Source organism: Homo sapiens, chromosome 1 (assembly GCF_000001405.40).
Source record: "Homo sapiens chromosome 1, GRCh38.p14 Primary Assembly".
NCBI lineage: Eukaryota > Metazoa > Chordata > Mammalia > Primates > Hominidae > Homo > Homo sapiens.
This window is the reverse complement of record NC_000001.11, coordinates 97,762,606-97,787,853: the sequence shown is the minus strand read 5'-3', so window position 1 is coordinate 97,787,853 and position 25,248 is coordinate 97,762,606. Positions and strand designations below refer to the sequence as shown.

At 34.7% G+C, this 25,248-nt stretch overlaps 1 protein-coding gene across 8 annotated transcripts in view, besides 1 other annotated feature; it reads left to right on the top strand.

Moving 5' to 3' along the window:
- Positions 1–25,248, top strand: part of DPYD (dihydropyrimidine dehydrogenase) — an 843,317-nt gene that overhangs the window by 133,206 nt on the left and 684,863 nt on the right.
- Positions 5,958–6,007: an enhancer, noted in NCBI's record as "active region_1356". NCBI's record gives its function as "activates an Ori minimal core promoter by ATAC-STARR-seq in GM12878 lymphoblastoid cells {active_cell/tissue: GM12878}" and the evidence as "EXISTENCE:reporter gene assay evidence [ECO:0000049][PMID:35858748]".

Below are 25,248 nucleotides of genomic sequence, written 5' to 3'. Positions count from 1 at the left end.
ATCTTTATGTTGAAGTTGTTGATTATGGTAATATCAATGTTTATATATGCTTATATTTTAGCACTTACATGTAAATATCTTCACCTCTTTTCAGAAAAGAGGATTTTGAGTTTAACTTAGTTTTCAAAAGTGCTCTATTATTGTTATAGCCTTGTTCGACGGAACTTCTGTTTGTTCAGAATTTCCCTTAAGATTTAGCTTTTTTTTTCTTTTTTATGAACAAATGGAGGACATCATAAAAATTGCAGAAGGATCATTATTTTAAATGGTGTGCCTTAGACTTGCAGTCTTTGCCAAGAATTATTCTTTAAAGTGTTTGCTACTTCTCTGCCTAACGGTAAGTTGAATCTTGTAAATAGACCTCTTTCTTCTTCTTCACGTATTACAGACTAGCAGGGGAACTTTGCCATGGATGACTGCCATTATTCTAAATGCAGGCTAGAAATGCAGGTTGACAATTTAAGCCAGCAGTTGTGATATAGCATCTTGAAACTTCTTTATTTCCAAAGTGTTTTCATTATGATCTATTTCACTGTTTAGGATAAAAGTCTCACTTATTTCATTTTACTTTAGATGTTGATGCAATTGTGGCTTATTAAGTTATGCTTTCAAATATTTTCACTGCCAATATCAAGTATCCTACTGGGAAATCTGTGAAACAAGATGAGAGGCTTTATTTTCTTTCTGAATTTAGGTATTATTTGTGTGCATATATAACTTGAAAATTGTAGTAGTATTTTCTGTAATTGACCAAATGTTCAATTTTTTTCATTACTATTGTATGGAAAATAGGAGAATGCATGAATATTTTAAGGACTGTTCTTAGTTCACAGTGACCTGTGGTTTTTTTTCCTCAAAGCCAGAGAAATAAAGCATAAAATATGAAGCAATGGCTAACTAGTCTAGAAGTTAGGAACTTCCATGCAAAAGGAGAACAATTTACACAGTTTTCTCCCTCACTAGTTATGTAATAATTAGCTTTTTATTTCCACCCAAATTCTTTCAGGTATATACTATATTTTAACAAGCTTTCCCTTTGCAAATTTTTGCTATTTTTAGGTCAAACAAAATAAGTAATAACTCCTTGTTGCCAAGATAACATAAGTTAACTCATTGCCTTCAGAATGTGTAATTTAATATTGGCCTTCAGAAATCACACTCTTCAGCCTAAAAATAGTGCTGCTCTTTAGGTGTAAACTTCAGGTGTCTATTCTGTTTTATTCAGAGACAAGCTAATAAAATGACTTATACAAATGTCTCCTCAGGTAGGGCCCTCATCTTGTGTGTGAGCACATTTCCAGGATGAGAAGGATAAATATTGAATGGATGGTCCTTTGGTATAAAATAAGATAATCTTTGATAGATGGTGGTTTTAGATGAGAACATTACAATAATTCAGAGTGGACTAAGCACATTTTATCTTTGTGCTTTAAAAAAAATCATTTGTAAGGAAGATGTCTTTTGCGTAAAAGTGAAGGCCAATTACACGTCACAAATGTCCACATTTTTACATATCACACTTGTTTTCATCTGTACGTTAAAAGAATCCATGAATTTCATCAGAAATATAAATTTTCTAGGGCACCAATCATCAAGTTTGTTAGAATTGGTAAAGTGTTGGTTAATAATAAACATGTAAAAGAGAAAGGAATGCTTTTCTAAAAGTTGCCCTTGTTCTTTTTAGAGTAATGTGATTTAATTGCCATTCATCTTCTGATTGTCTTAAATTGCGTATTTTGGGAGAGAAGTTGAATCCCTTTTCTTTCTTTTTTTTTTTTTTAATTTGGCTGAGGCATATCGTTGACCCAAGATTTAAAGGCCAAATTGGGAAGATATCATTGCAGTCAAGAGTCAGTGGCCCGGCCGGACGTGGTGGCTCAAGCCTGTAATCCCAGCACTTTGGGAGGCCGAGGCAGGCGGATCATGAGGTCAGGAGATCGAGACCGTCCTGGCTAACACAGTGAAACCCCATCTCTACTACAAAATACAAAAAATTAGCTGGGCGTGGTGGCCAGCACCTGTAGTCCCAGCTACTAGGGAGGCTGAGGCAGGAGAATGGCATGAACCCGGGAGGTGGAGTTTGCAGTGAGCGGAGAATGTGCCACTGCACTCCAGCCTGGGTGACAGAGCGAGACTCCGTCTAAAAAAAAAAAAAAAAAAAAAAAAAAAAAAGAGTCAGTGGCCCAAAAGAAAAAAAGATAATCTCTCTTGTGGCCAGCATAAAGATCTATTAATAAACACAGGGTGTGTGATGTGCTTGAAACTCACTGCATATTTAGGTTCTATTCATGTTTGGAGAACTGCTATAAAAACATACGGCATTGAAGACTGTTGATGGATGAGTGTCATTGCCTGTTGAAAGCTTCAAATCACAAATATGTGTGTAAGTAATTATTTTCTTCCATTTGTGAAATACCACTTTAAATATATATTCAAATTGAATAATATGCATAACATAAAACAGTGATCCAAACTGATTTGTATGACAGTATGAAGAACACACAGATAGAAGAAATCTGTGTGGTGCATGTTGTATCTCAGGGAGATAGATTTTTACCTTTCTCATATTCAGTAAAGTACTTTTATATGTTATACATTATGAAAATAACAAATGAAATATGCATAATTATTAAACGTTCAATGGACTTTGTGGTGTTTGAAGCTTATACAAAATGCAAGTATATTTTGCTATGCTGCTATGTTTTTCTCTTTCTACAAATAAAAGTTTGTATTAGCTATATTCTCATTTAATGATTTTACTAAACAACAGGATGTGAATAATTTTCATTAGACAGCAAAGATTAATAAATTTATTTGTGTTTATTAAAATCAGAACACCATGAAATTATAAAAAATTATATTTTACAAATAGCTTATTGTCTTTCTTGCTTTTAAGCACATTATATCCTCACACAAAAGTAACCAGGGCAGGAATTGTTTTCCTAGCATCTGTTTGTCATTAAAATTCTTCTGGACATAAAATTTTATGTATTGGCTACCTTTGTTAGTGTCTATTTAACTGTATAAAAAATGGAGGCCTTAAGAAGTTGATATAGATGACAGTCCAAATCACAGTCTCATGACAATGTCACATTGGATAACTCAGGTTAATCTGGTAATATGCATCCCTCACATGTTTTTCACAGTAGTTAGAAGAGACTGTCTGAAAAGGAAATAGGAGAGAGGTAGGTAGATTTGAACACAGATCATTTATGAGAGAGAGTGCTTCCATAGTGCCTGTGTGGAGTAATAGGAAATATAAACTGGATTTCTTTTCTTGGTAAAGTAATCGCCTATTTTGTTAAATGAGAACCACCCAGAACATTTTGTACTACACTTCTTCAGAAAGATAGTTTAGTCTTATAAAACTACATATATTTACATTTGTTTAAAACACTTAGAGACTTAAGTGTGTTCTCTTGTTCTTTATGTCCTCTTCATCTAGAGATCTACTTCATATATCCCCTAGAGCTTCTTGCCAGGGAAGCTTGGTTACTAAGTAGATACCTACACTCTCAACTGTTGGTATAAAGCGCTGAGAAATTGGTTTTATTTACACTGTAAGAGTAATTTTTTTTTTTAAAAAAAGGAAAAGCATGGCTTATATCTAAGGAAACACTGTTGTTTGGAGAGGTAATGAATGGCAATTAGCAGGAATCGTCATGTCTCCCATTTTGCTTTTTAGTATTCCTCCTATGTTGAACGCTGACAGTCTCTTTGGAATAGAAAATCAAATGAAGTCAAGTATTGCATATTAGATGGCTGATAATGTGATTCATATCTCTTATAACCTATTACTTCTATTACTAACAGCAAAAAGAAAGTGAGAGGATAATACTGCCAGTGTAGTTTCCTCCCTGCTTATTAAGCCAAGATATGTGTACTGCCTGTACTCTGAACTTGCCTCTGCTGAGGTAGCATCTATTGTCATGGGAACCATTATTTTATTGGAAGCATGAGAGATTTCAGGGAAAAGCTGATGCTTTCTGTTACCATGATATTGGGTTAGACTTGGGATTTAGAATAAATTACTGACCATAAGAAAGGTGTAGCCTTTCTCTGAATGAGTTGTCTTCCGAATCTGCAACTTTTTTTGTCTTTTCCAGTTTCATGACCTCTGGTAAATGATGCCTCCTTACTTTGATTAAAAATAAAATAACAAGGCTGGGTGTGGTGGCTCACACCTTGTAATCTCAGCACTTTGGGAGGCCAAGACAGGTGGGTCACCTGAAGTCAGAAGTTCAAGACCAGCTTGGCCAACATGGTGAAACCCCATCTCTAAAACACAATAATTAGCTGGGTGTGGTGGTGGATGCCTGTAATCCCAGCTACTCAGAAGGCTGAGGTGAGAGAATCACTTGAATCCAGGAGGTGGAGGTTGCAGTGAGCCGAGATCACACCACTATACTCCATCATGAGTGACAGCAAGACTCTGTCTCAAAAAAATAAATAAGTAAATAAATAAATAAAAAATAAAATAAAATAACAAAGCTGTATTCTTTCCTTATTTGGAAACATCTCCCTGGGAAAGCAGTCCCTACTTGCCAAACCCGATAAAGCACATCTGATTTTCTGTGGTGTAAGTCATCTTGTATAAAAGTATTACTTTAAGTAGGATGATCAATACCTATTCCTGTACAACTAGGGCATGGAGTTCTTTTTCATTTTGGAGGAGGCCAGTTATTTATAGTCATGATCATTCGAATAATAGTTTTTTCAAAAATCCATTTTTTATCCTTTTCTGTTCAACAGCGTTGGCTCTGTAAGAAATAGAAAGGGGACATTTGAGAGATGAGTAACACAGGGATTATAACAGCTAGCATTTGGTGCTTCTCTCCAACACACTCCTACCCCATGCTTTCAGAATTCTCCAGTGCCCACCACAGTATTGCACATTCCCCTAGGACTGTGCCTTCACTATGTCGGCTCACATGGCTCACATTAGGGTGAACCATGGTATCACCCTGATGATACCACCACCTGATATCCAGAGAATACTTTCTCAGTCCTGACTCCTACAGACAAAAGTAACAAAGGAGTTTGACCATTTATTCTGTCAAAGGTATCAAAGGAAAATAATTTACTCTTTATAAATGATTTAAGACATTTGATTAATACTATTAAAGATAGAAGGGATTGTCATATAAAGTAGCACTGAATTTGTGGTCAATTTCTGAGTTGTTTTTCATTCACTGGTCTTGCCTTTATACTACTTTTACTTTCTGTGCTTTTACTGAACGTTTTAAATCTAAACAGGGAAATGAATAAAATTAGAATACAGTTTAGTAAAATGGGAAGTAAAGTGAGTATACATGGCAGTGCCCCCAGCAAATGTATAATTCTTAGTCCTCTACCTGCAGATAGGGAAGAGCTCACTGTGATGGGGTCCCATGATCCAGGAAAGGCAACTGCAAGGGATGTGGACTTCTGTAGAACATGCTCAAAGCAAAGCTGCAGTGACTGCTGTCTGTTGTGCTGCAAAGACAGCTGTCTGGGGCCACAGAAGAAAATGGGATAGTGGGTTTGAAAGAAAGGCAAATCTGTAGAGAAATGAAGATAACAGAGGTGGTTTAGGCTGGTAGCTCTGCGCCGTGATTTATGTAATGTGAAGTGAACCAGGCAGTATGGACAAAGCATCCTCCACAGACCTTTGTTTGCAGTGGTTTAATCATGTATCTATTAGTGTGAGAGGATGAGGAAGAGAGAGAACAGAAAAAGGTGTCTGAGTTTACTTCCTCAACAACTTAAAATTTATCTTTCTGTCCCTACATGGTTACCTTGTACTAATACCTTCCAGTGTTGCACTTTTCGGTCTAAGAGATTTACCAAAGAATAAAGGATTGGAATGAGACACAGGCCTGACGCTAAAGTGAATCAGTCAGAACCACCATATCCTGTTTCTGTGTGATCTTAAGCAGCTTTCTCAACCTTTGCTAAGACTCAGTCTTCTCCTCTGTGGACATGCATGGTGTGGTTATTGAGCTAAGCTGTATCTAAATTTATAAGCATTTGAAATATTATTTAGTGCTGATTAACCACATTAAAATGCATTATTGGTATAGAAAAAATGTGAGTTGACTTGTTAAAATCATTTGTATAATTTTTAGGGTTTCTTTAGAAGATAGGTAAATAATGTCTATCATTTAAAGCTGCTAAGAAATTATTTGTACCACAGTTTTGGAAGGTGTGTTCATGGATACTCTCAGGAACTCAGTGATCTTTATCACATCATTAGGATCACATATACATTTAGGATGTGATTCAGGTTGATATAAATCATTTTGTTTCAGAACTTGCAGGGCATTTTTTCTACCCTAAACAAGACTCTAGTTGTTAAAGAAGGGTTTAATGATGTTGAAAGGATGTCTTTATGTAACTAAACATGCATGGAACATGTTATACAGTAGGTGCTCAATGGATGCATATATGTAGACATACAAGAATGGATGAGCAAATCAAAACATTCCCTGGGGCATCTCAGAAATGGTAATGCTTACACTCTAAATATGAGATAACTACATATGTCTAATTTTATCAAACAAATGGTGGTCTTAAAATCATAGGTAATTTTTGTACCAAAAGTATAAAGCAAATTTATTAGTTTTTACTTTTGTATACATTTACAATGAATATTTCCTCAAAATGTTTAAACATTTATAGTAATCACATACAGTGGATGGAAATAGAACTCTATAATGAAGATACAGGTGGAGGTTTAGCCAACCATAGCAGTGTAGCTAAGACTGCTGTATCATGAGTAATACAGCTTGTTTTCTTGGTTTTCTGTGGCTGTGTGCTCCAAGCAGATTGCCCCATTAACTGTCGTGAGAGTTGCAGTTGTAGTCATTCTGGACATTATGAAGCTTCTAGAATAATGCCTGTTAGTTATTTGTTCTGCTGTTATGTTAAAGATACGTTCATATTTTCATTGTCTTTACCTTGCTGTATTCTCTTAAAAATATGATATTGTCTTTATCTGAAATAGTATCAAGCATCTTTAGTTTTCTTTAAATGTCAGTGAAATTACTCTGCAAATTGAGCGACCAAATTTTTAGTGGTGAACACCCAGAGATCCATGCAATACAGTTTATAGTAATTCTTCATTTGCAATTTGACAAGTTGCATGTTTCCATCTGGCTTCTTTTCAGTTAAAAGAAGGGACAGAATGAGGTTTTGTAGAGTACTACTTGCTTGGTAGAACTTAGAATATACCTCCTTCTGAGTTGACAGCTGTTGCAGTATGTTCAAGAAGTATCCATGATTTCTTCCCTGTGGCGTCACCAGGTGCTGTAGTGCCTGGAGGAGTTAAACGTGGCACTAGCTTTTACAGATGTCATCATTGTTATCCACATGTAAGAACTCTCTTGATTAAAACTTTGGGCAAACAGCAAATCAGTAATTAAACTAAGCATTATGTTATTGTGCATGACTTTTTAAAAAATTTATTGTTCTTTTGTCCATGAAGTTTAAACAAGTTTTAGTGAATTTTCAGTGTTCATGACATATGGAAAAGTTTACTGAATTGTCAACTTTTTTCTCAAAACAACAATGTCGAAGTCTTAATCATAGCCTTTATTTGTTCATCAGTTTCTAATTTTTCCCCATTTATGATTTAACTGCAACTGAGCATTTTACTGAAATGTTTTTGTTAGTAATTCTGCTTAATTCGAAAAGAACACAAAGGTGATTACAAAAGTACAGTACAATAAGTTAATACTCTTTTTCCTCAATTCCAAGACATCACTGATTTAAAAATTGCTTTTGTGGGAGAACACAACTGCATTAAATGTAATTATAAAACATAACTTGATTTTAGAAGCTTCACTGAAATCAAACAATGTAGAAATTAAGTTATGTAAGTAGCCATTATATATTAGGCACCCAATAAATATTAGATATCTCTAAAGGTATTTTTTGTCACAACTTATGAATAGACAATCTATAATTTATCCTAGAGATGAAGTAACTGATCATGGCCCTACAGCTAGTAAAAGTTAGAGTTGGTTCTAGTTGTTCAACTTCTAAATTCTTATCTTTCCATAGAAACAAGTTGTTACATAAAGTAAATGGTACTACCAGGCCAAAGTGAAAATAAGGCCAAAAAAAAAGATGCAACCAGGAGTGATAATACTGTACAAAATGCACGCCATGATTTCTTATATACTTGATAAAGATAAAAAATAAATTATTCTGTAAGTACTTTAGCAACTAATGCAAAAAGGGAAACAGAGAACCCATTACAAACATGAATCACTGGATCCATAGAGAAGAATAAATCAGTTCCTGTATAAAAACTTCATGTTTCATGGTGCAATGGAAATTTCTACTGTGGATACTCAAAAAGAGGGTTATATGTAGACAGGTACTTTATTTTGTAGTAGTAGTAATTTTGTAGTACTGTTTTATTTTGTCTTCTTGTAAATTTCACACACTAGTGTATTTATGTTTACAGTCTTTTTTCAATTTTAGTCTTTATTTTCCCTGTACTTTCTTCAAATCTAAGCTATTGCAGCTTGTAAGTCTTTGTGTGTGTGTGTATGTGTGTGTGTGTGTTTGCAAAATTATAGAGACAATAAGGGCAAATACTTGAATATAACTTCTTAAACTGTTATTGGAAAAATAGATTCTAAATTTTAGGTTACTTGCCAGCATGTAATCAGTTATATGCCTGATTCTTGGATTTAAAAATCCTTGTGAAACCATGTCAAAATTATTATTTTGTTCCAAATCTAAAAATACCCTTTTAAATGTAGTGTTTTTCTCTCAGGTTGCTTTCAATAGAGCTAATAACTTAAAAATCTCAAATAAATTCCAGATAATTTCTAGACATTATGGCTATATTCCTGGTGAAGGTTTATTTTTATAACAGAATATTCTGAAAATTAAGATATAAAAAGAATTGTCATAAGGTGGCAGTATGTTTCAATGCTAACCATCAGTATAGAAAGAGAGCTTGTTGAACCAAGTGGTTCCTTAGCTAGTTTGAGCTCTGTATGAAAATTCCCTGTAGATTTTTTTTGAGGAAAATTGAGCAGCTATTTCTTAGGTAATATGTGTGAAATTATCAAAGATACTACTCTTTTGATTTTCAGTATTACTTACTGCTGCATAAAATAAAACCTTTTCCTTCACCCTAGCTATGCCTATATATATTGATACAGCAATGAAAATAAATGCCTTTTGTTATGGTCATTGATACATTTAAGTAGTAAGTGAGTTTACATGTTTTAAGATATAACATTTTAGGTTATAGTCCTGTTGAATATTGTGTAATAGTTATAACTTTGACTTTGGTAGCATTGAATGCAGAAGTATTTTGGCAGGATTTAATAAATAGCATTAGTCTATGGAGAAGTAATAGAATTTAAGCTTTTTAATGAAATAGAGTAAGTTTAATTTCTTACCTTCTCACTCATTAGCTTTGCAAACTTGAGCTAGTTACTTGGGCTCTGGATTTTTTTTCTTGTTAATAATTTAGAGATAATATAATGTTTACCACACAAGACTGTTGAAGAATTTAATGAGATGATGTTTATGGGTATGCTTTCTAAATTTTGAGATGTTTTCTAATTATTATTATAACCAAATAATATATTAACTCTTCCTTCCCTCCCTTCCTCCCTCCCTCCCTCCCTCTCTCTCTCTCTCTCTCTCTCTCTCTCTCTTTCTTTCTTTCTTTCTTTTTTTTTTTTTTTTTTGACAGGGTCTTACTCTGTTGCCCAGATTGGAGTTCAGTGGCGGAGCCTTGACTCACTGCAATCTCCGTCTCATGGGTTCAAGCTGTCCTGGTGCCTCAGCTTCCCTAGTAGCTGGGACTACAGACGTGTGCTACCATGCCTGGCTAATTTTTGTATTTTTAGTAGAGATGGGGTTGCACCATGTTGGCCAGGCTGGTCTCAAACTCCTGACCTCAGGTGATCTGCCTGCCTAGGCCTCCCAAAGTGCTTGATTACAGGTGTGAGCCACTACACCTGGCTCCTATTTCTATTTTCTGATGTAATCTTAAGAGAAAAACTTGAGGGTTGTCGCATTTATTTGCCACATGACAGGTTAGTACATAATGGCTACTTCACCACACAGTCAAGCTAGAACAAAAAACCAAAAAGCATGTCTTGTTCATCATCAACCATATATCAACATTAAAGCATTTTTAAATTTCCTACCAATATTATGTGCATGGAGGAGGTTACTAGGACCCAGAGGACATGATATCTGTCCTTAAATACCTTTCTGTTTGGCTGAAAAAATAAAACTAGATAAGAAATGGGAAGACCTGTGTTCTAGGGTTAGCTGGCTTTGAAATCTTGAATAGGTGTCAAAAGTTCTGTGGTTCCAGTCTCTCATTTGTACATTGAACTTGATCATCTGTAAGGTCCCTTCTGGCACTTTTATCCACAGAATATTTTGTGTTATGAATTTGCTAATAAGTAAGCAACATACAGTAGATTTTCAAAGGGAAGAGAAATTAGTGTGGCCTTGAGTATTTGCAGTCTCTTTGGCCTTATTTGCAAGAAACAGCTTTGTAGTTGCTCATAAGTGAATGGATAGTCATTTTCATGACTAAATAATCTTGTCTCTATGGTAAGTGAAAAAATATACATACATAACATTTAAAAGCCTGGAGTATATTAATTTTTTAAAAGTTTTAATGTTATAAATGATCTGGGTGAAAAAGCGAAACATTTAAAATTTTTACAACTAGGTGTTAGGTAGTAAATAATGAATACTCAGAGAAGAAAAGACATACAGATAAATAATTGTTGCAGTTATTAGTAGTTCCATCATGGTAAATGATATCCACACTTCCTATAGTATTTTTAGATAATTTCACTTAGAGTATATAACTTTTGTCGAAAAGTTTGAATACTACTTTAATTAAAACTCACGTTTGTAGCTTTGCGCCTTTATGTATTCTCAAATACCCTAGAAAATGTCTAAACTTGTAATAACAGTAACAACTAATTTTGACAATTAATAAAGTCCTAAAGAAAAATACACTAAGTATACATCAAAAAGAATTTCCATAAGAAAACTTTAAGCAGGTTTCCTATTTTTGTTGTGCTCCAAATTGTTGTGCTCCAAAACGTAGACTGCCTAAGACCAAGGAAGGAAAATGCTTCAATACTCTGCCTCTGCCTGGAGAATTTACACTTGTGTTAATGAGGAAGCTGAGTATCAGTTTCTCTGTCTTTTTTAGATTGTCTGTGCAAAACAGAGGACTTTTTCCTGGGTCTCCACTACTTCTTCTTCTACATGCAGGCAGATGTTGAAAAGCATAGAAAAACTAGAGAGAACGTCTTGGGAAAATAATCCAATCATAAGACCTTTTTAAGAGGATCACCTCAAAAAATAAAGACTTGCAGGTTGTATGATACAGATGAACCCTGGTAGCAGTGCCTGCAACTACTACGCACTATATTCTAACATCCTGGAGCATACTGAAAAATATTAACCTTTGTGATAACTTCAGAGATATGGACACACCTTGGCGTAATTTTAGGACTTCAGCACAGTTCATGAAAGCATGACTTCTTTGAAAAAGGAGCAAAATATAGACTGAGATAAAACAAAGGAAAGAGGTAAGACAGAATTAAGAATCTAAAAACATTAAATAAACTCCACTTTGCAGGCATTCATGAGTAGAATTATAGCTAAAGAAAAATACAATCAGTGGTGAAAAAAGAAATTTGATCAGCTCTTGATAAAGCAGATGAAAATGATAAAGCTTAAAATTATGTGAGACACTCTGTTGTACTATCAAATGCTAGATCTTATTCATTCTATGTTTTTGTAACCATTAACCATCCCCACCTTTCCCCACCTGCTTTCCCTCCCAACCTTATCAAACATCACATGTAGCCTATACATATATACACCTAATATGCACCCACCGTAAGTAAAAATGAAAAAATTAACAGAAAATGAAACACATCATAGAAAATTATTTTTAAAATTCTAAATGTAAATTAAGATACAGTAATGTGAGACAAACTCAGTAATATTCAGGATAAATGATGACCCAATGTGGGATTTCTTGAATTCACTAAAAAACTATTTGCATTCTAGCTATGGTATCATTCAATTTTCTGGAAATACAGCAATAAACAAAGCAAACATTGCACCTGCTCTCACAAAGATGACATCCTGAGGAGGAAGACAGATTATAAACATTAGGACACAAGAATATATATAATATGTTGGGAGATGATAACATGTTGAGTAAAAACAGAGCAGAGTTAAGAATCGAGAGTAGGGAGGCAGAAATAGGTATACCCCAAAGAGAAAGTTAAATAAGTATAACCAATAATCAGAGATGTCATAGAAGAGTTTTTTCTTTACCTGAATGTATAACTCCAAATGATTTATTTTCCTAGTTTACTATTATCTAGTCAAGTTATTATACTACAGCAATTAAGAAAAGTCCTGCCAATAAATATGTAGGCAAAAGGGACAGATAGGTTACCAAGAGCAGGGGGGGAAATTTAGGTGGCTTCACCTATTCACTTCCATATATCAGAAGATAATAGAAAAATTTTGTCTGCAGAATTTTAAAAGAAATTATGTTGTGGGCTAACAGTTTCACGTAGAGGCAAGATAGTTAATGTATGTTGGTATATAAATATATTCTTAGACATTCAGGGGTTCAGAAAATATACCATTTATCTAACCTATTAGGAAAAAAACCTGGAAAATATTTTACACTTGAATGGAAAACAATTTAGAAATTGAGAGTACAAGTGAATATAAAAGACAAATATTTTTAAAATAGTAGATAATAATATGAGTCTGGCAATATAATGATGATAATCTACATATAAACCCCAGACACTGTCACAAACCTGGCATTCATAGAGCTTCTTTCTTTTTTTTGTCCCTACTCCAGTTTGGCATGCAGTGAGGTGACCTTTGAGGATGCTATTTCTAGCAAATCATTGATGATGATTTGGACATTCAAAAGGTTTTTCCCTTGTATGTTTTCAAAGATGTTCTTTAAAATGTTCAAAATCGTCAAACCGTTTCCCACAGTACTGATATACATGAATTTTTTTTCCTAGTTCTTTCCCAGTTACCAACTACTTCAGGGTAGTTCAATTTAGGTGCTGTTTCCGTGTGCTCTCCAGAAGATACTTTTTATTGCGTATTTCACACTTGAAACTCTCAGTAGAATGTGATTTCATGTGTTCCTTAAAATGGCAAAGCAATTTAAAGGTGGCTGTTGGGCATGGCCTTTGCATGCTGTGGACATGCCCAGGCACCCGAGATGGGAGGGGAAAGAGTAAGGGTAGATACCCAGAGCCATACTTGCCTGTGGCTTTTTAGGTAGAGGCTGAGTCGGTGTACCTCTACAGGTGGTCTGATTTGCACCTTTGGCAGCTGAGTGAAATGCTCATTTTACCTAGTAACATTGCCACAGCCTCTAGCAAAACTCTTAATATCATAAAGGAAGAGATAAGAGCCTTTCAAACAGTGAGAGAGAGACAAGAGACGAAGTCTGGGGTGTTTAACCAGCCTGGTTAGGGTGGTTAAAACTCCATGAGGGCAAACAGATCCTTTTACTCACAGGAAAGAGAGAGAGGTGGCAGTGTTTTGGAAGAGTGGCAGATCCTACAGTTTTGCATTCATACTCTCCTTCCAGGATCCTGGATGAGCCCCAGGTAAAACAGGAAACGTTCTCTTATCCCCCTCACAGGGCATGCAACGGTGGTGTGGCTTGCTTCTTCATTGTCCCAAAGCTCAAACCCCTAGGGGGAGCATGCATATGGGCAGGTAGTGGGGAATGTGGACCCCACGGCAGCATCTAGGGTTGGGTGTTTACGGCTCCCAAAGCTCCAGTGAACGTGTGTTACAGTGTGCTTTCAGCTTAGGTGTCCACAGGCAGCTTGTGTTAATCAGCCCAATTAGACCTTCTGCCTTATCACAAGGACAGAGGGGCTTCTTTCTGTATCCTGGGTTCTTGCCTTAGTGTACTGAAAAAATCAGATCACATGTGGGCTTGGAAGATGGGTGCAAAGTTTTTTATTGAGTGGTGGAAGTAACTGTCAGCAGATGGATGGGGAGCTAGAAGGGGGATGGAGTAGGAAGGTGGTCTTCCCCTGGAGTTGGGCAGCTCAGTGGCTGGGCTCTTCTCCAACCACCCTCAGCCAAATTCCATGTAATCCGCTTCGTTCTGCCATCTATGGCCGTGTCGTTCTGCCATCGATGGCAAACACAGTGTCTGTCAGTGTGTTTTTCTGCTGGTGTGTTCCACTCAATGTCCAGCTGCCTGTGTCTGTGTGCCTCCTCGTGTCTCGGGGTTTTTATAGGCACAGGATGGGGGGAGCATGGTGGGTCAGAGTGGTCTTGGAAAATGGAACATTCGGACGTGAAAATAGGAGTGCTGTTCTCACTTAGGTCCGTGGGCCACAGGCCCGAGGGTAGAACCCTCACCGGGGACAATGCCCTTCTCTGCCAGCACTTCCCTGCCCTTCTCCTGTATCATTAGTAAATATGAATTAAACTTATTTACTAATATCCTAATATGTCTTGTGGAAATAAGCTCAGAGGAAATATATATTCATGATTAAGAGTGTTGGAATTAAATTTCCTGGATTCAAATTTTACTTGAACCACTTTCTGGCTCAGTTGTCTCATTTGTGCAGTCATTTGATAAATAGCATTAGCCTCCCAGGATTGATGTAAGAATACATAAGTTACCCTATTGAAAATTAGCGGGGTATAGGCATTGTAAGAACTCAGTGTTTATTTCAGAGCCATTGTTAGAGATAGAATAAAACTCACACTTCTTCCATAGGGCTCTGAAAAAGTTAGTTCAAAACAAATTTTAAATTTCTTAGCTAGCTAATTATTTAGATTCCTGATTTTCTACTCTCCAAGTGAATCTCCTGCAGAGGCCATGAAAAATCATAGAGGCCATGGAAAATCATCTGTATAGAGCTCTATCAGAGACCATCCATCCTCTTCAGAAATCTGGCCTCTCAGCTTTTCAACTTTATTAGAAGAAATATTTCTATTCTTTGTAAGTTTACTTTTAAGGTATGCCTTCAATCAAACTAGTTTACCTCCTTCAGCACCTTGTTCCCTCATGTATATGTTTGTATGTTGTTGTTGTTATGCTAGATTCTCCATTCTCCTCTACTTACCAGTTTCCTCCATTTGTAAGCATGTATGAGATTCTTCTATACTGAATATGCTTTGGCTCAATTTTCCTGTTCTCCCTAGTTATCATTCTACTTAAATTCTTTCTTTCACAAGTCAGCCTATTTTGAACAAATCTGCACACACAAACAATGCATCTGTTTCCTCATCAAATGCTTACTTCCAACCTGTGAAATTACACTTCTGCCTTCAATGTGATCTATTGAAATTATACTTTTATAGATGACTGTGGAGTTCTCCAAATTCAAGTGGCTTCTCTACAGTTTTCTGTGGAGAGAAGATAGGATGAGAGGTGGAATACTGCTGTTGTTAACTGAACAGGCTGGATAGCTAACTTTTCCTTTAATAAAAGAAAGAAAGAAGTACAATTTCTGAGTTCTTTAAGGTCAAACATGGATTTGACTCATCCCCTGCTGTATCCTCATGACCTTGTGCAGTGCCTAAGACTATGGAGGACACTCAAGAAGTAGTTATTGAATACAGAGGATGCTGAGTGGCAAAATTGAGAGTCTTGTCTTATTTTCTCCATTTTCCTTGTATTCCCTGATGAGAATGAGGAAGTCAGAGAGTAGTTTAAAGAGATAAAAAAATTTAAGACAACATCATTGGGCAGAAAAAGTGAGAGGACTTTGATAAATAAAGATTTATCTTTTATTTTTGTATAATATGATAAAGAATACAAGAAAGAATATTAATACCTTTTACTTATTTTTCTACTTACTAAATTTTATAGCCTTTTCCTTTTATTAAGAAATGGAAATAAGTTGAGCATAAGAAAAGACCATGTAGCAGATAATATTTTATAATATATTTTGTAAGATAAAACAAAAGGTGCTTTAAATTATTAGACTATGTAATCAAGCACACAAGTTATTCATTTTGAAACAGCAATGGCTTTTTTCCTTATCCATTAAATATGAATGTTTTCGTAATTATTTAGAAAATCTGTGGGGCTAACGTACTGTCTATCATATTGACAGATGAAGTCAGAAACATTCTTAATCCCCAAATATGGGTTATATAATTAGTTTTAAAGAAGATTAATGCATTCATCTAGCTGTTTTGAATCAGATGTAAGGGAATATGGTATCATATACAATTATTATTCAGAATCATACCATGATTTAATTTTCTTTCTTTAGAATGTGTGCTTTTAAATAAGATATACTGCTTTACAGTAAAAATATGCTTTTTTGTTAATTTCATCTCCTTCATTTATTTGAAATAAATCTGTATGCATGTCTTTTTGTGCACATATATGCATGTCTCTATAGGATATATTACTAGAGATCAATTTCTGGTTAAAAAGGCAGAAGTATTTTTTACTAGAAATGTGAAATAGCTCATTGAAGTTGATGCAGCCGCTAACAGCATATTAAAGTACTTATTTCTCATTTACTTTCCAAAATTAATATTTTTCTTTTTTCTTTGTAATTGAGACAAAGTCTCGTTCTGTCACCTAGACTGGAGTGCGGCTCACTGCAACCTCCACTACCCCCTGGCGCATGCCACCACAACTGGCTAATTTTTTTTTGTATTTTTAGTAGAGGCGGGGTTTCACCATGTTGGCCAGGCTGACCTCGAACTCCTGAGCTCAGGTGATCCACCCGCCTCAGCTCCACAAAGTACTGGGATTACAGGCATAAGCCACTGCATCCAGCCTATTTTTCTTTTTAATGTTAGCAAATTTCATGCTAGAAAACGTACATTTTGATTTAATTTCCTTAATAACTAGATTACACATTTTTTCATATGTTAGATAAACATTTGAATTTTTTCACAATGACTAGTTTATAATACTTATGATATTATTGTCTGTTTTAGCTACATATGCACAAACACATCCTGTGTATATGTGTGCACATATCATTTTAAGATTATAATAAGATATATTAAGGAACTAGTAAATGTTAAAAAATAAAATATTTGAAAGAGACGTGTGCAGCAAATAAATTGTTACAATGAAATTTTTTATTTGCAAGAGGATTATGAAGTTTCCCAATTTAATGAAATAAAAGTAATTGTTATATTATCTAGTCAGCCTGTATGGAATCTATATCAAAAAACACTTACGCAAACTTAGTATGTTTTCTAGCTACTCAAAACAGTTTGAAAACAGTTTGTTCTCATGTACAGTGTTAGTCACTACAGTTATTAATATCTTTACATTCCAAACAGTTTTTCTCCTTTACATGCAGAGCATTCACTATTCAAAATTTTTTTTTCCCTTTTCTTATTTGGAAAATCTTGGTACTCATAGAAAAGAAAATATGGAAAGTTTTTTTAAAAGGCTTTGAGTTTTGTTATTGAATTAATTTATTGAAAAACATTGGGCATTTCTTTGTTTACATTACCTAAATCATAACATCTTATTTGTTTCTAACAGCTAAAATCAGTATGTGCTGTCATATATCATACCCCTGTAAAGTGGCCAAATTTGTGTTTTAATTAAATAAGACTTTTATGAATTAATTGTTGCGATGGTAAAGTCATACTGATAATAATCTTTACACCAAACAACTAGGACATGCGAGCTTCAAACTTAGGCAGGTTGCAGTTTAGTTGTGGATGCACAGCATGAACATATTAATGAGCACTGGCCCTTTGCATTTGCAGTTCCTTCTGCCAAAATGCCCTTCCTCTCAGATCTTTCATTGAATGGCTTTTTAATATCATTCAGGCTTAGTGTAAATACTGGCTTCCTATGCAAAAGCCTCACTACCTAATCTAAAGGATCTCTTCTTCTATAAATCAGTCTCCAAGTTTTTTGTTTATTTCACAGCACAATCACAGGTGAAATCATCTTGATTATTCATTTGTTCACTGATTTGTTCCCATGTCCTCACCACCTTATATTCCCACCCTAAATGGTACTTCCGAAGTGGAAAGATAACTTCTTTTAAATGTTTCCTATAATTTTCTATTTTATTTCTTTGGACAGTGATTTTTAAAATAATTTATGGAGATAATGTTTGCAAATTTTTAAGCTGTTTTCACAGGTAGAATAAGCAGCTAATATGTTCAAGTTTGATAGTACATGTATTTATATTTTAACAGAAATATTTCTAAATCAACTTCACATTTCACTTTGAAATATTTTCCACCAAATATTTTGAGGGCTAGTTCTGAGATCTTGTCCTACTCTTTGAAAATGTTTAGAGTGAAACGAAACTGTTTTTCTAATCTAAAAAACAGAGTGTTTTAACCACCACAAATCATCTTATAATTATTTAAAATGAAATCATATAATGGCAAATGTTTTCCAGCATGATATGTTAAATGGTGTTACACAACTCAAATACATGATAGAGATTATTCTCTGGTTGAAAAATGTTAAAAATAGTGTTTTTTCAAGGTAAAGAAGAAGCCTGTTACCACCTTGTTGACTATTACTTTTCCATTGCCTTAGAAAAAAATGTATAATTGTATCCAGTTCTTGTATTCTTTGGGAATGAAAATCATTATGCCAAAGAATACTTTATTCCTTCCAAAATGTCCTTTTCTTTCCTGTGGAATACTGCTACTTAATGGAAATCTAGGCAAACCCAGCAATTTCTAAATAGTTTGTAAAGAATCTGGGATATTCTGTCAATAGAAAGATGAATAGCTATAGAAAGTCCTCTTATAAGTTATATCTTAGTAAATGCCTTTCTTTTTGTAATCTCATATGGAAAACCAAATGAAATTTTCACTTTTAAATTTAATACTCGAGTTTTTTATGTGTTTTTTTCTTTATTTTGTGGAGATTTTTTGATTATATCGTGGTTAATATTATAAATATAATTTTATTTCCCATTTATTTTATTGCCAAAATATGACAAATATTTATTGTATCTTAAAATTGTGTTTTGTAAAATTTGTTTTGCTATATTTAAGAGCTCTCTCATTTAGCCTTTTCATTTAACCTGGTAGACTAATGTGGGTTTTTTCTTATTTGGAAAAGATGCATTTTGAAATAATATTTTTGGGTTTAGAAGCCCTACATGCATGAAAATCAGTTTTTAGCCACAGCAAAAAATGTGGAGCATTTATGCATCTTGTAGCAGAAATTTAGCTTTTATAATTGAATTATTCCAATTTTCACATCACAATAACTGTTCACCTATCTAAATTACAAAGAAAATGACTAAGCTTGGAATGTGAAAGAATACTTAAAGTTCTTACATTATCATCACAGATCTTAATGTATCTTCTAAAATGACAATAAAAGAGAAGAGTGAATTTCTTTTTCTGTCAATCAGTGATTTGTGTGAAATTCTTGCCTATATAATGATGTTGGGCAATGCTTGCAAAAAAGTGTATTTAGAATCAATTCACGTTGAAATAAACTCTGGCAAGGGCACATTCAGGACACGAGTTCGTTTTTCCTGGGTCCCATGTCTATGGCCTCATTATAAGGAAATTTTTTAATTTTTTTGTTTAATACACACAAAGATATACATACAGACATACAGCAACTTTCAGAAACCTGTATATTATATGGCTCCAAGTATTTAAAAAAATCAAGAATTATTTGGGCTGCTTGCTCAAGATATTTCATAATTAGGAAGAGATACATGTACATATTTATGAGAATACTACTCAGATTCCCAAAACTTTCGAGGACCTGATTGCTGTCTCTCTGGGTTATGTCCTTCTTTACTTGAGCATTGTAAACTTATTCATGGAAACATTTAAGTAAAAATCAGATACTCTTCTATTGCAGTAGTGGATTTTCTATTAACTTTGACAAATCTCATCATTTCCTTGGTATGTTGGCAGGAAAAACACAGTCAAGTTGAAAGAACCTAAAATGATTATCTAGTTTTGGCTCTATTTAAAGAGAGGATTGCTGAAATTAATTCTAGATATTTAAAACATTTGGATGTTAGTTAATCTGCAGTTGATATTTGCAGGGGATCATTGCATGTGTTAACTGCTGCAAAAAAAAAAAAAAAAAAAAGCCAGCCCCAAACTCAGTGGCTTCAAATAATAAACATGTATTATTACTTGAGTATACTTATGCATCCTGTCAGGGCTGAATTGTGTAGGTTGTTCTGCTTATCTTGACTGAACTCTTTCACACATTTGGGATTTGCTGCCTGTAGAGTAGTCTGGTAGATTTGGCTCCATCACGTGGACTCTTCTCCCTGTCGTCTCTCATCCTCCGTCAGACAAATTAGGAGTCGCTCACATAGGAATGGCAGGGTTCCAGAGAGGAAACAGAACATGCAGAGTTTCTTGAGGCTGAGGTTCAGAATGAGCATACCATTATTTCTGCCACATTCTCTTGGTCAAAGCAGTTTGTCTCAGTTTAAATTCACAGAGTAGGGAAAAAGCCTACCCTTTGATAAGAAGAGCTGCAAAGTCCCATTGCAAAGGTTATGAATACAGGGAAGGGTAAAAAAATGGACTCATTTTGTCTCAAGTCTATCAAAGACTACCATCCCTGGTCTCAGTTATACATGTCTCTCCTAAAGGAAAAAATATGCCCAATCCAAACCCAGAAATTGAATCCAGTTCTAACATCATGTTAATTCCAGGGTCTCCTATACTACATGAAGTTCTGATGTGGCTTCTCAGATGTAACTCCAAAAAGGGGAAAAACAGGAGCTACCTAGCAATCACCGATCAGTAGTAATTCTGAAATCATGCTAGAAAAATGTTACCAAGTCCCTCATCTACAGAATAGGAAATGTTTCTTAAATCCTGCCTTTGCTCCTTGGGAGTAACTTCCCTGTTTATTTTTTCACATGGTACCCTTTTGCTCTACCCTCTATGATGACCTTCGTAGTCTATCACTTTCCTGGGCCACTTCTGAAGAAATGTTCTATTTGGCACCTGATTAGTTTTCTTAGACTTATTCTTTCCTATAGAAAGTTGCAGACAATTTAGTTGATGGCTATTTTACCTATGAAACTTACTGTAAAACTTTGTGTGTTTTCTTTAAGTCTGGTTATACTCTACTCTCTGCTGCAAAATCCATACTACAATTATTTTCAAGAATGCTTCTTTGTACACACTTAACTACTGCTATTTAGGGATTTGACATTTGTGGGACCACTCTTTAAGATTTCTAGAAGCACCCTTCCCCTTTCCTTTCCCCTGTTGGGCACCACTTAATTCTTTCAGAGGTGTTAACAAAGGGTTTTACGGCCACAGCCTTAATTTGATCATAGTCTTTAAGCCTCATTTTACATGATCTTTTGCCAAATGGGAAGACTATAAGGAAAAACAATTTTATTTTCCAACTCAGCAATCCTTGGCCTCTCTATATTCCCTCTAAAATCTGCTTGCAAATGGGTGAGTGCTGTTTTGATTCTCTCCTTATCAATATACCTTATCACATGCAATAAAACCAACTGACATTCTGAATATAATATCTAAAAACTTATCTTACCATACTTCATAAATCCATTAGGTATATTATCTTACTTTAAATTTACCACAGGCAACAGTTATTTATTTATTTTTTTTGAGACTGAGTTTCTCTCTTGTTGCCTAGGCTGGAGTGCAATGGCGCAATCTCGGCTCACCATAACCTCCATCTCCTGGGTTCAAGCAATTCTCCTGCCTCAGTCTCCTGAGTAGCTGGGATTACAGGCATGTGTCACCACGCATGGCTAATTTTTTGTGTTTTTTTAGTAGAGTTTCTCCATGTTGGTCAGGCTGGTCTTGAACTCCTGACCTCAGGTGATCTGCCTGCCCTGGCCTCCTGAAGTGCTGCGATTATAGGCGTGAGCCACCGCACCTGGCCACAACAGTTTTACATTTGCTGCTGCATAACACAGGTCACCATTCTTCCAGCACACATGATCATTTCATTATTCAGCCTTTGATAATAGTTCACTTATCGTCTTTTTAGCTTTTGCATCAATTATCAGCCTTTGCTTACTACCTGATCCTAGAGCCAGTGCCACATATTTTAGGTTTGTGTTACATATTATTGTACTTGTAGACACAGTCTTTCATCAACTAGCTGTTGTTGTAGATCAAACCACTCCCAACCCAGTGGCCTAGAACAACGTGCATGTATTACTGCTCACAAGTCTAAGGGTGAGGTGGACAGTCCTGCAGGTCTACACTGGGCTCAACTGATCTCAGCCAATTTTCTGATGACTTGCCAGTGCCTCCTAAGGAGTAAGGCTGTCAAACTATTCTGTTCATTTCCTAAACCCACCTGGGAGGTGTGAGCTGTTAAGTAAAAATGGAATATGGAATTCCTGGGGTAGATTCTCTGTGTTGACTGTCCTAGCTGCTGTCTTACATAGCTGGTTCTGTGTCCTGTGAGCTTATACCTGAATAGCTCCAGTGATCTGCCTCAGAGTAATGGCTGATGGGCACAGTGCTCTAGTAGCCTCTCTATATAGCCTTAGACCAAAGAAATATATTAAACACAAATTTCTGAAAATACTTTGTTGATAAATGGATTAGATATCCAAGCAATGAAACATAAAATAGAAAAGCATTTCCTTCCCCAAAACTCTATAAACAACTCCCACAATGAGTTTATGACAATGCTTGAAACTAAAAGTAAAACTCAAGAGTGAAGGCGTTGTATAGAATTAAAATCTGTGACTGAAAAAGGTCAAGGCATTTATATTTTTAAGCTTTAGAAAGAGTTGGTCCTCTTAATGTTTAGGAAATGGGCAATACCATTATGAAATAAATATTTAAAGAAGATTGGCCTGGTAGTAATAGGTAGATTCAAATGGAAGAAATACATACAAATATGTCAAACATATGAGAATATTAGTTCACGTAGAACTTAATCAAAGTATACTTAAACTATAACATCTCATTGATTTATTCCTTAATTCATTCAACAAATATTCATTGAATGTATAAATTGTTGGGCACTGTTCACAGGATGAGAGATATAATATAAATTAAAATTAACATCGCTTTCAAATAATTTTCAGTCTACAGGGAGAAGTACGTAATAAATCTCTAAAACAAATATGGTACGTAAAATATGGTGAAGCTATTTATAAATCAGCATTTCAGATCATAATAAAGTATTGTTAAAGTTTATTCTTAGGAAAAAGATATTTTCCCTAGAGTTTAAAAATTCTTTAAAGTGTAAGTTAATTATAAATAGAACTAGTTTACTTCTTTTCACATAAAATATGGGAACTGAAAATTGGACAATTAACTTTGTGTAAAGTGATAAAGTTAAAAGTTTATTTTTTTGCTTAGAACTGAAAGACAAATGCTAAAAAGTATTCATTATTATTAACTTGAACATGTAGTGCAGATGTAATGTCACCTTTGTACTAAACCAGAATAGATAGTTAAAATCTAAATACAGATCTCCTTTTAAGTGTTTTGGAATTATACAAGAATTTCTGAGTAGGGAATGGGAAAATATTAAAAATCTCTGTGTTGGGAAGACAGTCATTTTACCTTATACTATATTTTAATTTCCTAGTGCTAGAATTTTATGGATCTAACTATGCATTTATAATTTGTTTCCTTCTTTATTCTCCAATTTTCTCTTTTCTTGTTTTTCTCTCTTTACTTTATGTAATCTTCCCTCCTTTTTTCACTTTTTGTTTTATATTTACCCCTTCATCGGTTTTATTTCCTATTCAGTTTGCTTTGACCCTTGTTTCCTCTTTATCAACTTTGTCTTTCCTCCCGTCTCATGCCATCCTTCTCACCACAAAAGGTTCTGTCAGCAGTGTTATTATTTTTTGAATACAGTGATGACATCCTACTTTTATGTTCATTCTGAATTAATAAAATATGTAGTAACTGTTAGTGCAAACAATTGTGACCTGACTGGAAGAAAACGAAAATCCTTGAGGATGTTTTCACACACAATAAATGCATACTAATTAAGCTAGTATGAAGCTTTACATTCAGAGAAAAATAAGATTCATAATAAATGTTTGGATGAATATTGAGAATTTTGATGCCTTTTTTATTTTAAAATATTCTTTTCAAATACCCTAACATAAATCAAAAATAATCAAATTAATAAATCACAATAATTTAAAAGATGCATTACCTTTTTATATGGTGCATTTTACCCCTATGCAAGAACTATTTTAATCAATAGGCAAGATTATTCAGGTGAGTTCAACAAATTTGAATTCCTACTGTGTATGACAAACTAGACTAGGAAACAAGAGTATGTTGTTGGATATAATAGTTAAAATCCTTTCATTTTCCTTTCTTGATGGAGGAGTTCAGAGAAGGGATAGGTCAGCCTTGATGGACACAATGAAGGTAGATTGGGTGTGCTTTTGCCAGAAGAAGAAAACTAAAGGGAATGAGAGAAACAGAAAAAAGAGGAAGAGAAGGTAACAATAATTTAAGAAGTTTGTATTGTGCAATTAAAAAAAAACATTGGTTGCATGTATAGGCACTGAGTGGAAGATAAATTAGACTTTATCTACAATAATTTGTTAATCTAACATTTATTAATCCCCTCCTATTAACTGGGCACTGTGCTAGAAATATAATGATACAGAAAGGAATACAATATGGGCCCTGCTCTGAAATGATTTTACAATTTAGTAGGGGGAGATAGATGTGTCCATAAATTAGTTTAATCAAATATATAAACAGAAAAGTAAGGCACAATGGAGGTGTTGGTCTTTTCTTTCTCAGTCAAGAATATTAGGAAATACCTTTCATGCTGGGTGTTAATGAGGATAGCAAAATATTTATTGGACATTTACTACTTTACAAACACTTTGCTAGACTCTGTAGAGACTTAATCTCCTTTGTTCCTCATAATAACTCTAGGAAGAAGGAGCTTTTTATGCCACTTAATACAGATTAAGAAAGTGAGGCTCACAGCAGTTGTGACGACGCATATTTAATATGTAGAATAATCAGGATTTGAATCTAAGTCCATTTTACTTTTAAGAGACTGCTATTTCTACTACCCTATTTCGGGAGTGTGAGCTTGATTTGACAGTTCTTTGAAAATGTTATGGCTGCTATGCTTAAAACAAATTGGAGGTGTACATCTTTTTGGGAAAAAAAGACAATTATATTCTAGTCAAGAAATACTGAAGTTCTCTGCTAAGTAGATTGGAAAGAAAGGATGAAGACAGGAATAAATGTGGAGAGAGAATCTAAGGTTAAGAAGGAGAGGAT